This window comes from Homo sapiens, chromosome 12 (assembly GCF_000001405.40).
Source record: "Homo sapiens chromosome 12, GRCh38.p14 Primary Assembly".
Lineage (NCBI taxonomy): Eukaryota > Metazoa > Chordata > Mammalia > Primates > Hominidae > Homo > Homo sapiens.
The window spans coordinates 68,807,850-68,821,199 of NC_000012.12; the positions used below are offsets into that span (position 1 = coordinate 68,807,850).

The 13,350-nt window shown below is 40.6% G+C and overlaps 1 protein-coding gene across 7 annotated transcripts in view, besides 3 other annotated features; it reads left to right on the plus strand.

Annotated features, from left to right (window-relative positions):
• Window positions 26-415: a silencer, noted in NCBI's record as "silent region_4648". NCBI's record gives its function as "represses an Ori minimal core promoter by ATAC-STARR-seq in GM12878 lymphoblastoid cells {active_cell/tissue: GM12878}" and the evidence as "EXISTENCE:reporter gene assay evidence [ECO:0000049][PMID:35858748]".
• MDM2 (MDM2 proto-oncogene) overlaps window positions 323-13,350 on the plus strand; it is a 42,515-nt gene continuing 29,487 nt past the window's right edge. For 2 of the 7 annotated variants that reach the window (NM_001278462.2, NM_001145340.3), the window contains exons 1-3: window positions 1,175-1,237; window positions 1,359-1,443; window positions 5,705-5,779. In NM_001278462.2, coding sequence (NP_001265391.1) covers window positions 1,363-1,443; window positions 5,705-5,779 — 156 coding nt within the window. In that variant the 5' untranslated portion in view covers window positions 1,175-1,237; window positions 1,359-1,362. Of the gene's footprint in view, window positions 643-1,167; window positions 1,238-1,358; window positions 1,444-5,704; window positions 5,780-8,962; window positions 9,097-12,475; window positions 12,526-13,350 lie in introns of those variants that run through there. The other 5 variants (NM_001145339.2, NM_002392.6, NM_001367990.1 and 2 more) reach the window with 5 other exon arrangements.
• Window positions 617-1,816: an enhancer, noted in NCBI's record as "CDK7 strongly-dependent group 2 enhancer chr12:69202246-69203445 (GRCh37/hg19 assembly coordinates)". NCBI's record gives its function as "activates an origin of replication core promoter dependent on BRD2, BRD4, P300/CBP, MED14 and CDK7 cofactors, with strong dependence on CDK7, by STARR-seq in HCT116 cells {active_cell/tissue: HCT116}" and the evidence as "EXISTENCE:reporter gene assay evidence [ECO:0000049][PMID:35650434]".
• Window positions 916-1,305: an enhancer, noted in NCBI's record as "active region_6646". NCBI's record gives its function as "activates an Ori minimal core promoter by ATAC-STARR-seq in GM12878 lymphoblastoid cells {active_cell/tissue: GM12878}" and the evidence as "EXISTENCE:reporter gene assay evidence [ECO:0000049][PMID:35858748]".

The following is a 13,350-nucleotide window of genomic DNA, read 5'->3' on the forward strand; positions in this document are numbered from 1 at the left end:
GAGATCCGCATTTGTCGCAGTTTCCACCGCGGGCGGGAAGTGTAAACACAAGAAATACAAACATAGCGCAACGGCTAAAGGAGTGTCACAGCGCCAAACCTTGCTGGCTCCGCGCCAGGCCGAGCCCCACCCTCTCAGCTCGCGGCCAACACCCCCACCCCGCCTCACAGCCCGCCGCGCCCGCGGGGCGACACCCCCCACTCCATCATCCCGGAGGTGGTGCGGCCGAGCCCCGGACCCAATTGGCGGAAGCGGGGCCGGTTGTGTGCGCGCGCACAAATGCCCGGATGCGCCGCGACGACCCGCGCGCTCCCCTCGGGCGGTAGGGGGCGCGCACCGAGGCACCGCGGCGAGCTTGGCTGCTTCTGGGGCCTGTGTGGCCCTGTGTGTCGGAAAGATGGAGCAAGAAGCCGAGCCCGAGGGGCGGCCGCGACCCCTCTGACCGAGATCCTGCTGCTTTCGCAGCCAGGAGCACCGTCCCTCCCCGGATTAGTGCGTACGAGCGCCCAGTGCCCTGGCCCGGAGAGTGGAATGATCCCCGAGGCCCAGGGCGTCGTGCTTCCGCGCGCCCCGTGAAGGAAACTGGGGAGTCTTGAGGGACCCCCGACTCCAAGCGCGAAAACCCCGGATGGTGAGGAGCAGGTACTGGCCCGGCAGCGAGCGGTCACTTTTGGGTCTGGGCTCTGACGGTGTCCCCTCTATCGCTGGTTCCCAGCCTCTGCCCGTTCGCAGCCTTTGTGCGGTTCGTGGCTGGGGGCTCGGGGCGCGGGGCGCGGGGCATGGGGCACGTGGCTTTGCGGAGGTTTTGTTGGACTGGGGCTAGGCAGTCGCCGCCAGGGAGGAGGGCGGGATTTCGGACGGCTCTCGCGGCGGTGGGGGTGGGGGTGGTTCGGAGGTCTCCGCGGGAGTTCAGGGTAAAGGTCACGGGGGCCGGGGGCTGCGGGGCCGCTTCGGCGCGGGAGGTCCGGATGATCGCAGGTGCCTGTCGGGTCACTAGTGTGAACGCTGCGCGTAGTCTGGGCGGGATTGGGCCGGTTCAGTGGGCAGGTTGACTCAGCTTTTCCTCTTGAGCTGGTCAAGTTCAGACACGTTCCGAAACTGCAGTAAAAGGAGTTAAGTCCTGACTTGTCTCCAGCTGGGGCTATTTAAACCATGCATTTTCCCAGCTGTGTTCAGTGGCGATTGGAGGGTAGACCTGTGGGCACGGACGCACGCCACTTTTTCTCTGCTGATCCAGGTAAGCACCGACTTGCTTGTAGCTTTAGTTTTAACTGTTGTTTATGTTCTTTATATATGATGTATTTTCCACAGATGTTTCATGATTTCCAGTTTTCATCGTGTCTTTTTTTTCCTTGTAGGCAAATGTGCAATACCAACATGTCTGTACCTACTGATGGTGCTGTAACCACCTCACAGATTCCAGCTTCGGAACAAGAGACCCTGGTTAGTATTTTTGTCTCGTGTAACTTTTAAGAATAATTTATTTTATGAAGTGATAAACTAAATTTCGTATACCTCAATTGTAGCATGGCTCTGTAAATAAAATTGTATGTGCATAGCTTAAAGTGTGCTACCTCTGGCGTAACTGCGTGGAGTTAAAAACTGTTAAGAACTGGTCAGTATTTTTTTAGCCATTTGCCACATTTGCTTTAAAAATTAGTTCCATTACATTGTTAAGCGTGGTTGAAGTTACGTTTGTTACGTGACTGATTTTTTTTTCCTTTTTGACCTCCCAGTATTTAATTTTTAAAAATGGTTTCTAAAAGTCAAAAAAGTTATTCGTGCTTGTTTTAAAGATTTTTGTCATTAGAGAAATTTTAAAGTAAAACCTGAAAATTCCAGGCTTTTTGCTCCATGTTTCCTTTTAGATTTTTTGTGTGCGTACCCACATATATTTACATTTGAATTTAAATCTATGTTATTGTCCTGTTTGTTGTACTAACAAGATGAAACTGTAGTTGTTCTGTGACTTGCATCCTTGTCAATAAATAAAGTCTACAGAATTCTTTTTAATGGCTGCATAGTATTCCACAGCATGAGTATACCATTTTAAAAATTATTTATGCCTTTACTGATAGGTTTTTAAAAATTGCCTCCTGTTTTTGAGTATTACAGATAGTGCCGCTTTGTACATGCATCCCGTGTGACTATTTCTGTAAGAAAGATTTTATAGAATTATAGGCTGGCCTCGGTGGCTCACCCCTGTAATCCCATCACTTTGGGAGGCCAAGGCGGACCGATCACCTGAGATGAGGAGTTCAAGACTAGCCTGGCCAACATGGTGAAAACCTGTCTCTACTAAAAATACAAAAATTAGTCGGGCATGGTGGCGCGCGCCTATAATCCCCTGCTGAGGAGGCTGGGGCAGGAGAATCGCTTGAACCCAGGAGGCAGAGGTTGCGGTGAGCCAAGATTGCGCCATTTCACTCCAGCCTGGGCGATAAGAGCGAAACTCCGTCTAAAAAAAAAAAAAAGAAAAGAAAAAGATTTTAGAGAATTAGAACTCCTGAGTTCTCAATTTTACTATTTGATTGCTACTGGTAACTTGCTCACCAAAAGGCTCTAACAGTTTCACTCCTGCCAATACTGAATATCACCAATCTTTAATTATTATTATTATTATTTTTTTTGAGGCGGAGTCTTGCTCTGTCTCCCAGGCTGGAGTGCAGTGGCACAATCTCGGCTCACTGCAATCTCCGTTCCCCGGGTTCACGCCATTCCCCTGCCTCAGCCTCCCGAGTAGCTGGGACTACAGGCGCCCACCACCACGCCCGGCTAATTTTTTGTATTTTTAGTAGAGACGGGGTTTCACCATGTTAGCCAGGATGATCTTGATCCCCTGACCTGGTGATCCGCCCGCCTCGGCCTCCCAAAGTGCTGGGATTACAGGCGTGAGTCACTGCGCCTGGCCTCTTTTATTATTATTACTATTTTTTTGATAAAAGGTACTGTACCATTGTTTAAATTCATTTTTCTCTAGTTTCTTGGTGAGGCTGGGCACCTTTCCTTTTTGTTTTTGTTTTTGTTTTTTTTGAGACAGAGTTTCACTCCTGTTGCCCAGGCTGGAGTGCAATGGCGAGATCTTGTCTCATTGCAACCTCTGCCTCACGGGTTCAAGCGATTCTCTTGCCTCAGCCTCTGGAGTAGCTGGGATTACAGGCATGCGCCACCACGCTCAGCTAATTTTGTATTTTTAGTAGAGATGGGGTTTTTCCATGTTGGTCAGGCTGGTCTTGAACTCCCAACTTCAGGTGATCTGCCTGCCTCGGCCTCCCAAAGTGCTGGGATTACAGGCGTGAATCACTGCACCAGGCCTCCATTTTGTTAAGTCATTTATTTCTTCTGGGACTTGCCTAGTCTTATCTGTCCATTTTCCTTTTAGTTTTTTAAAATTTTTCTTAGTAATTGGAGTAGCTCTATGTGTTTCAAGTATATTTAACTTTTGTTGTTTACTAATGTAGCATTTAATTTTATGTTGTCTTTTCCCCATTGAGAACAATTCTGTGAAGTAAAATTTGTTGGCTTTTGAATTTCATATCATGCTTTGGAAGAACTCTCCTGTCCCAAGATCTTGCAAATATATTCCTATATTTTCTTCTAGATTTAAATTTTTTAAATATTTAGATCTTCACCTGTAATTTACCTTCTTGTTCTTCAATGTAAGATTACAAATGCTATTATCTTTTATAGCTGTTTTCTCATTAATACATGTCTTTTAAGTCACTAATATACTGATGGCTTTCCATTACAGATTTTTTTTTTTTTTTTTTTTTGAGACTGAGTCTTGGTCTGTTGCCCAGGCTGGAGTGCAGTGGCATGATCTCGGCTCACTGCAACCTCTGCTTCCTGGGTTCAAGCAATTCTGCCGCAGCCTCCCGAGTAGCTGGGATTACAGGCACCCACCTCCACACCCGGATAATTTTTGTACTTTTAGTAGAGATAGGGTTTCACCATGTTGTCCAGGCTGGTCTTGAACTTCTGACCTCCTGATCTGCCTGTCTTGGCCTCCCAAAGTGCTGGGATTAAAGGCATGAGCCACTGCGCCTGGCCCACACCTGGGTAATTTTTGTATATTTAATAGAGACGGAGTTTCACTGTGTTGGCCAGGCTGGTCTCACACTCCTGACCTCAGGTGATCTGCCTGCCTCGGCCTCCCAAAGTGCTGGGATTACAGACCTGAGCCACTGCACCTGGCTTCCATTACAGATTTTTACTTTGAATTATTTTATCTAATTTGAAGCTAATATAGCATATAATAAAAATTCAGGAGAAAAAAGGTTATTTTTAAATCTTTTTTGAGAGAGTCCATTCTTTAGCCTGAAAGTAAAGTGCATATGTAAGCACAGTTAAAAAAAAAAAAAGTGATCAGAAAAATTAATAATTCAATTCTATATGTATTTTAAATTTTTCAATTGTTAAATAATATTTGTTTTATTGATTAGCTGGAAATAGGCAATTTTTAAAAATCTGTTTTTAAGGCATCCCCAATGGGGGTGCTGTCAGATTTTAAAGTTAGACAGAGGACCGGGGCATATTAAAGAGAGGTGCAGAGGTACCAGTTTGTGTGGTAGTGGCAAGCTGTAAAGATACTTGAGTTTTGCAGATTTTGATAAACCAAAAGGAAGGGAGAAAGTGCATAGTATATTACATTCCCCTCCCCCATGACAATTATTTTTCTCAAGACCATTTGTAAAACCTCTAGATAAGGGGCAGGCAAATGTTAGCCTGTCAGCCAACTTTGGCCTGTTACCTGTTTTTGTTTTAGTTTTTAAATTTTTTTTGTAGAGGTGGAGTCTCTCAGTGTGGCCCAGGCTGGTCTTGAACACCTAGCCTCAAGCAAACCTCTAGCACTGTCTCCCAAAGTGCTGGGGTTATAGGCAAGAGCCACCTCTCCCAGCCAGCTGCCTTTCTTTCTGTAAGGAAAATTTTACTGGAATGCAACCATGCCCGTTGGTTTACATAGTAGCCATGCTTTTTACTTGGATAGAACCATTTGTATGAAAAGCTTAAAATACTTACAGTCTGGCTCTTTACAGAAAAAAATTGACCCCTAATCTAGTTGGCAGGCTCCTTGCATACAGGTCATATGTCTTATTTGTAATTTCTTTTGCAGTACCTACCACTGTCCAGTGCATAGTAGAAGCTCAATAAATGTTTGTCAAGTAGATATTTGAAATGTAGACTAACTAAGAGGCAGCATGATATAGTAGGAAGAAAATGCTGAGTTGTAGTTGAGGGACCTGGGTTGTTATCTCTGATCTGTTCTTAATTACCCTTGTCAGCTTGGGTTAGTTAGTTAGGTTCTCTAGCCTTCAGGAACCTAATCTTTAGAAAGAGAAGATTGATAACAGGACCCACTCTAAAGATTTATTCATTTCTCTTTGATTCTCTAAGTTAGCTTGCAATAAGCTCGTTGGATCAGTACGGTAAGCTCATTGGATCTCAGTAATTTATGGTTGTTTGTAAGGCAGTAAGCAGGTAATATAAATAGCTGAAGGAAAAAGTAATCTTTGCTCTTTTGGATTGGATACTGTCTGTGATCACAACTGATACTTGATGATTCCATGATACTTGCATAATGATTAGATCCTCCCCAGCATTTTTTCCAAATCCCCTTTATTGAACTTGATGGATATGTTTGCTGCAGGGCCTATAGTTCTGGGATAATTTTGGAAGTATAATAGCAGTTCTTTTCTCTTTATAGGTTAGACCAAAGCCATTGCTTTTGAAGTTATTAAAGTCTGTTGGTGCACAAAAAGACACTTATACTATGAAAGAGGTAAGCTGAATCAAGAGATAAGTAGTATCTCACTAGTTACATGTAGCCATACTTAAAGTTTTCAAGACCATGTGGAGAAATTGGCCATATAGAAGGATTTTTCATTAAGCAGCAACATTTAATTTTGTGGTCGTTTGGACTATATTTTAAAGCTGAAAATTCTAATTATACTCGAGTTTCATTTCTCAGCTAGGAACTCAGATAAATGGAAGCCCCGTAAGGGTGCTTGACCATTTTATGCTGTCAACCCTTTGGTAGACTCCTTCCCAGAATCATGTTTTTAAATGTATGAAATAAAATGTATAGAATTACAAAGGAAACATACTAAAATACGGTTACCAAAATAGTAAACTAGTTTGTGATATGTGTGCTTTTGTTATTAACATAATAAATACTAAGATTTAGAAGAAGATATAATAAATATAATGTTTTTTTGTTTTTTGAGACGAAGTCTCGCTCTGTCACCCAAGCTGGAGTGCAGTGGCACGATCTCAGCTCACTGCAACCTCCGCCTCCTAGATTCAAGCCCTTCTTCTGCCTTACCCTTCCAAGTAGCTGGGATTATAGGCACCTGCCACCACGCCTGGCTAATTTTTTGTCTTTTTAGTAGAGATGGGGTTTCTCCATGTTGGCCAGGCTGGTCTTGAACTCCTAGTCTCAGGTGATCCACTTGCCTTGGCCTCCCAAAATGCTGGGATTATAGGCATGAGCCACCATGCCTGGCCAATAAATATTATCTTGATATAGTGAGGAATATAAGTCATATTTTGAAATGTTTGCCATAAGTACAGTATGATAGGAAAACACCTCTGATTTTTGTTGGTGATGAAATCACAGGTATTAATACTGTTGTGATTTGTTGCCTACATTTATAATCGAAGGAAAAGCTAAATTCTAGTTAGAAGTTTGTGAAAATAAGAATAGAATTTTTTTTTTCCCATCCAAATTAATGGACCCCCTGAATTCTATCCAAGGACTTCTTGGGCATCCCTGGATCCCAGGTTAAGAACTTCTGCACTAGAGATACATGAGTACAGTATACTGATCTTTCTGGGATAGAGGTGAGCTGATTCATGACCATATATTCTATCTAATGGTTCCAGCATTTTAATGCATTCCCCACCTTTAAATTTGTGCACAGAAGCATGATTTTCAGTGACAGATTGAGCAACCTTAGGCAGAATTTCAGTGTGATTGAAATATGCCTGTTCTCTGTCTCTCCCACTTAGTTTATGGGACTCAGATTACTTAAAACATTTAAGTTTCTTTCTTACAACGGTATAGTGGGGCAGGAAGAGCTTCCATTTTTCTTTTTCCTCTCCAGCTATACTTTTAGAAACTTCCTTAAAGGATGTTTGGTAGAATAAATCTAAGTTCTCTTCCTTTTTCCTTTCCCACTGCTGGACAGCAATCTGTCCAATCCACAGTCACATAAGAATATTCCTTTAAGGCCGATGCCTGCTTAGCCAGTTAAATCCAAAGACAGTGTTTGTAGGAAAGGGCCAGGTTAAATGGTATTTTTAAGGCTAATTTGGGATTGACCTTATTATCATTGGATAATCAGTTAAGGAAACAAAAAAGTATGGATTTAGCAGTAGATAGAAATGAGAAAATTGGCCAAGGCCATCATAAAGACTTAGAATGCTTATGCTAAACTATGTAACAGTAGTGTATGTATTGTCTGATATAGTTCTCAGTTATAGGATCTTTGTTCTGGGGCACACAGGAAGGTAGTGAAAGCTAGTATGGGTAGTAAAAAGAGCGTTGGATTAAGAGTCAGAAGAGCTGGGGCCAGTTTCTTCTTCTTTTTTTTTTTTTTTTTTTTTTTTATGTGACAGTTTCTCACTCTCTTGCCCAGGCTGGAGTGCAGTGGCATGATCACTGCTCGCTGCAGCCTGGACCTCGTGGGCTCAGGTGATCCTCCCACCTCAGTGTCTGCAGTAGCTAGGACTACAGGCTTGTACCACTATGCCTGGCTAATTTTTGTATTTTTTTGTAGAGATGGAGTTTCACTATGTTGCCCAGGCTGGTCTGGAACTCCTGGGCTCAAGGGATCTGCTTACCTCGGCCTCCTAAAGTGCTAGATTTACAGGTGTGAGCCACTGTGCCCAACGCAATTTCTTCATTTCTAATACAGTGATAATAATCTTATGAAATATCAGAATGAGATAATACTTATAAAAGTACATTGTAAACTGTAAAATGCCATATGTATTTAGGTAGTTGTTAATAGGTTTATATCTGGATATCTTAAAAATGTATTGCCAACTTCTTGTCTTAATGCAGCACAGGGAATATAATTTAACTTTTATTAATGGTTCAAAGTCATTATTTTGATTATTTATCATAATATGGAGTAAATTGATACCTTAGAGGGTTTATTTCATTCTCAGAATTCTCTCAAACTGTTTTGTAGCTGTCATTGATTGATTGTTTTTCTGTCTTCCTCCTCTGGTGACCTCAGAGGCTATTGAGGTTTATAGTATTTATGACTATTTACTAAGTGGCTCCAGACCACTGCCATATTTTAGTTGATTTTTGTTTCTGCAACTTTTTTGGCTATCAGTTTTTTATTTTGCTGCCTTTTCCCTTCCTAATATGTTAGTATCTAAGTATCTGGGCAGAGTTAAAGTCTACAAGGAAAAAAACCTCACATTTTAAGGTTTGCTTAAGTAAATAGAGAAGCAGTTATTTCTGCTTCTGTCAAATTAAATGGAAAAGGCTTAAAAGTAGCTTTTTTTTTTTTTTTTTTTTTTTTTTTTGAGATGAAGTCTCACTCTGTTGCTTAAGCCGGAGTGCAGTGGCGCAATCTCGGCTCACTGCAGCCTCCACCTCCTGGGTTCAAGCAATTCTCCTGCCTCAGCCTCCCTAATAGCTGGGATTACAGGTGTCTGCCACCATGCCTGGCTAACTTTTGTATTTTTAGTAGAGATGGGACCAGGATGGTCTTTATCTCCTGACCTCGTGATCCATCCGCTTCGGCCTCCCGAAGTACTGGGATTACAGGTGTGAGCCACTGCGCCCAGCCAAAAGTAGCTTCTAAGTACAAAATGGTTGTTCTACATAGTTGTGGATATGGTTCCTGGTTGTTTACCCCTATTCAGATAAATAGGATATTATTAAATGTATTTACAACTAACATTTAGTTTTCTTTAATGCTCAGAAATCATATTTGTATTTCAGGTTCTTTTTTATCTTGGCCAGTATATTATGACTAAACGATTATATGATGAGAAGCAACAACATATTGTATATTGTTCAAATGATCTTCTAGGAGATTTGTTTGGCGTGCCAAGCTTCTCTGTGAAAGAGCACAGGTAATTCTTCAGTTTAGTCCATTGTAAAAAGCCATCTGGGCTAACATTTCAGTTCACCTCTACCCTCATTCACTTTTGTCAGAGAAAAACTGTTGAAACATATTAAAGACATGCTGAAACTTAATTTTTTAGCTCTGCGGCATATTATTTGAGAACCTGAGCTCTGGCATCTTATAAACCAGTGTTTGAAACCTAGCCCAATCATTTACTAGTTTTGTGACTAGATAAATTAACCTTTTTAAACCTGCTTCCCCATTTATAAAATAGGGATAATTAAATACTTCATGTGGAGGTTAAAGCTCTTGAAGAGAGACGTTGTATAAAAAAGCATAGTTTTGGGCACATACAAAGCATTCAAGTATTAGCTGTAGCTATTATAACTTTTTATTCCAGAAACAGTATACCACCACGTGGTAAAGGCTTACATTTGAGCCTTAGTTATTTTGGAGATCATTTTCATTGTCACCTATCATTATGGCACTTAACCAGCAGAATTTAACCCAGGTAATATTTCTAGAAATAGGCCTGGTGCGGTGGCTCACACCTGTAATCCCAGCACTTTGAGAGGCCAAGGCGGGTGGATCACCTGAGGTTGGGAGTTGGAGACCAGCCTGACCAACATGGAGAAACCCTGTCTCTACTAAAAATACAAAATTAGCTGGGTGTGGTGGTGCATGCCTGTAATTCCAGCTACTCGGGAGGCTGAGGCAGTAGAATCACTTGAACCAGGCAGGTGGAGGTTGTGGTTGAGGTGAGCCGAGATTGCGCCACTGCACTCCAGCCTGGGCAACGAGCAAAACTGCATCTGAAAAAAAAATTTTTTTAATATATATTTTTCTAAAATTATTCTTTTTTTTGTTTGTTTGTTTTGAGAGGGAGTCTTGCTCTATGGCCCAGGCTGGAGTGCAGTGGCATGATCTTGGCTCACTGCAACCTCCGTCTCCTGGGTTCAAGTGATTCTCCTGCCTCGGCTTCCCGAGTAGCTGGGATTACAGGTGCCTGCTGCCATGCCTAATTTTTGTATTTTTAGTAGAGACAGGGTTTCACGATGTTGACCAGGCTGGTCTTGAGCTCCTAACCTTCGGTAATCCACCTGCCATGGCCTCCCAAAGTGCTGGGATTACAGATGTGAGCAACCACACCCGGCCTACATTTGGAATTCTTTGTCACATTTGGTTTAGCACAGGCAATCCGTGTTGAGCCTTAGCATTCATTACATTAATAAATGGAATGAATACGTTCACCTGAGACAATTAACTAGCTTCTGCTAGTATTTAATGCTCAATAGTATAGCTGAAAAGATGATAATTAAATGGGATTTTATTTTATTAAAAAACATAACTTCCTCAGCTGAGCAAGGGATTTTATAACTTTAAAACAACCTTATTATTGTAAACATAGTATATATTATTATTGAACATTAGGAGATGACAGAAAACTAAGAAAAGTAAAGGAAAAAAAAGGACTGTAGTTTGTTAACAAAAGGTATTTTTACCAGTCATTTGTGTATTATGTGCAACTGTGTGTTTTAACCTAGTTATGAATATAGTACTATATTTAAATTTCATCTAGCTTCTTAATTTGTATTATAATTTGTATATTATATATTATAATATACATATAATATAATTATATATATTACAAATATATGTATAATTATTATTTTTTATTGATGAGTCACTTCTGTTTAATATCCATATATGTTGTCATTTTATACGTGGCCTTGGTATATATGGTTTAATTTTATAAATTTTAAAAATAACTATATTGGTATATTGGTGATTTCTTTACCTATTGAATATTGAATCTTCTATTTTTTTTCTTTTTTTTTTGAGATGAAGTCTTGCTCTGTTGCCCAGGCTGCAACCTCTGCCTCCTGGGTTCAAGCGATTCTCTTGCCTCAGCCTCCTGAGTAGCTGGGATTACAGGTGCACACTACTATGAGCAGCTAATTTTTTGTATTTTTAGTAGAGATGGGGTTTTGCCATGTTGGCCAGGCTGGTCTCGAACTCCTGACTTCAAGTGATCTGCCTGTCTTGGCCTCCCAAAGTGCTGGGATTACAGACGTGAGCCACTGTGCCTGGTCTGAATATTGAATCTTCGGATAATGTTTGGAAGTATGATTTCCTTGGACTTGAATTCTAAATGTTGAGAGATAAGAAATAGGAGAAATTACTGACTTGAAAAGGATATGAATTAAAAATATTGTGGGTTTAGGTTGCTGTATCCTTATTCCCAAGGATGAAAAAAGATAGTTGGGATTCATATTTCCTCTTAATATTGAGTGAGAAACAATATTTTGTGACAAACACTCTCTTAAATCCTTAGTTTAAAAACAAAAGGAAAAATCCATTGTGACATCAACGAATACTGGGGTAAATGAATTATCCTCCTGTTAGGATATAAACTTCATGAGGGCATATACATTTCTGTTTCATTCTTTGTTTTCCCCCGTGTCTGGTACATAGTACCAGTGACTGGTACGTGGTAGGTTTTCAGTCTGTATTTATTGAATGAATGAGTACTGCTTTATCTGTTAATAAGTTTCTTTTTTTTCTTCCCTGAGTCGGAGTTTTGCTCTTGTTGCCCAGGCTGGAGTGCAATGGCGTGATCTTGGCTCACCGCAACCTCTGCCTCCCGGGTTTAAGTGATTATCCCGCCTCAGTCTCCTGAGTAGCTGGGATTACAGGCATGCGCCACCATGCCCAGCTAATTTTATATTTTTAGTAGAGATGGGGTTTCTCCATGTTGGTCAGGCTGGTCTTGAGCTCCAGGCCTCGGGTGATCTGCCGGACTCGGCCTTCCGAAGTGCTGGGATTACAGGTGTCTGTGAGCCACTGCGCCCGGCCTCTGTTAATACGTTTTAAGATCAAGAAAGGAAGTTGAAGCTTGATGAAAGTCAAGATTATAATCAAATTCCTATTTAATGGATTTTGCGTAACTCAATAGTTTTTTTGGCAGTTTGTATTTAATGGATTTTGCATAACTCAATGCTTTTTTTTGGCAGTTTGCTACTAAGCACAGAGCTAAAAACATTCCTGTTTGAAAATAAGTATGTTCAACCTCTTCCTGCTTGCATACTCATTTTTTGGGGGTCTTCTGGTAAAGTCCAAACAAAGCACATTTCAGGAATTGGTAGTGTGAAATCTTTCAGCTAGAGAGACTTTAGTAATTATTAAAAGTAGCTGTACATAATCATTGTGCTACTAATTATTGTGCTTTTAAGTGCCTACAAGCTTGCCAATGATAAATTTGGTTTTGAATGTGTGCAGTAGTTCATACTAAGTATGTATGTAGAAGTCTGGTTAGATCCAGCTTAATACAAATTTTTATTCTAAAATGTACATCTCTTGTTATTTTTTTTTTTTCTGTCTACAAGGAAAATATATACCATGATCTACAGGAACTTGGTAGTAGTCAATCAGCAGGGTAAGTTAATTTTGAGCATCATGGATAAATACCATAAAAACGTTTTAAAGACATTTTTGTTTATGTGCATATGTTTTATAATTGTGATTCTCTTTAAAAGTTGCTTTAATTAAATATTGTAATAAAAGTATGATAAATTTATTAGAAGTACATATGAACTAAAACCACATACTGAGGTTCTAATGTAAAGTTAAATATCCTGTTAGATCAATTTAGACTTGGGATATCAGAGTTAGGATTTATTTTGAAAGGTCTGTAATTTCAAAAGCTCCTGTTTAGGAGTGATCTACCTTGAAAATGTATTGAAAGGCTTTGGGAAATAATATTGTTACCTAGGTAGGACCATGTGTAAGGATGAAGGATGAGTCTTTTTCTTTGGTTATAGACAAAATTTTGTTTACCAATTTGTGGAAGTGGAATTTTATGTTCCTACTTCCGTTTCTTAACTGGTTATTTTTGGGTCACATCTCTCTTTAATAAGCTGATAAAAGCATTGGGTTCTTGTTCCAGAAAGATGCACATGTATATATACATGGGTAAGTCAATAAGTGTTTTACAACCTACTTTCCATGAGAAAAGCCCTGATTTATGTGCTTGCTGACTTCCATAGTATAATACTCTCATTTGAAGGCTAAAAACATGGAGTTGGGAAGAGATGTACACAGTTTGCTTTTTTTTTTTTTTTTTTTTTGAGAAGGAATCTTGCTCTGTCACTCAGGCTGGAGTGTAGTGGCATGATTTCGACTCACTGCAACCTCCGCCTCCCAGGTTCAAGCAATTCTTCTGCCTCAGCCTCCCGAGTAGATGGGACTACAGGCGTATGCC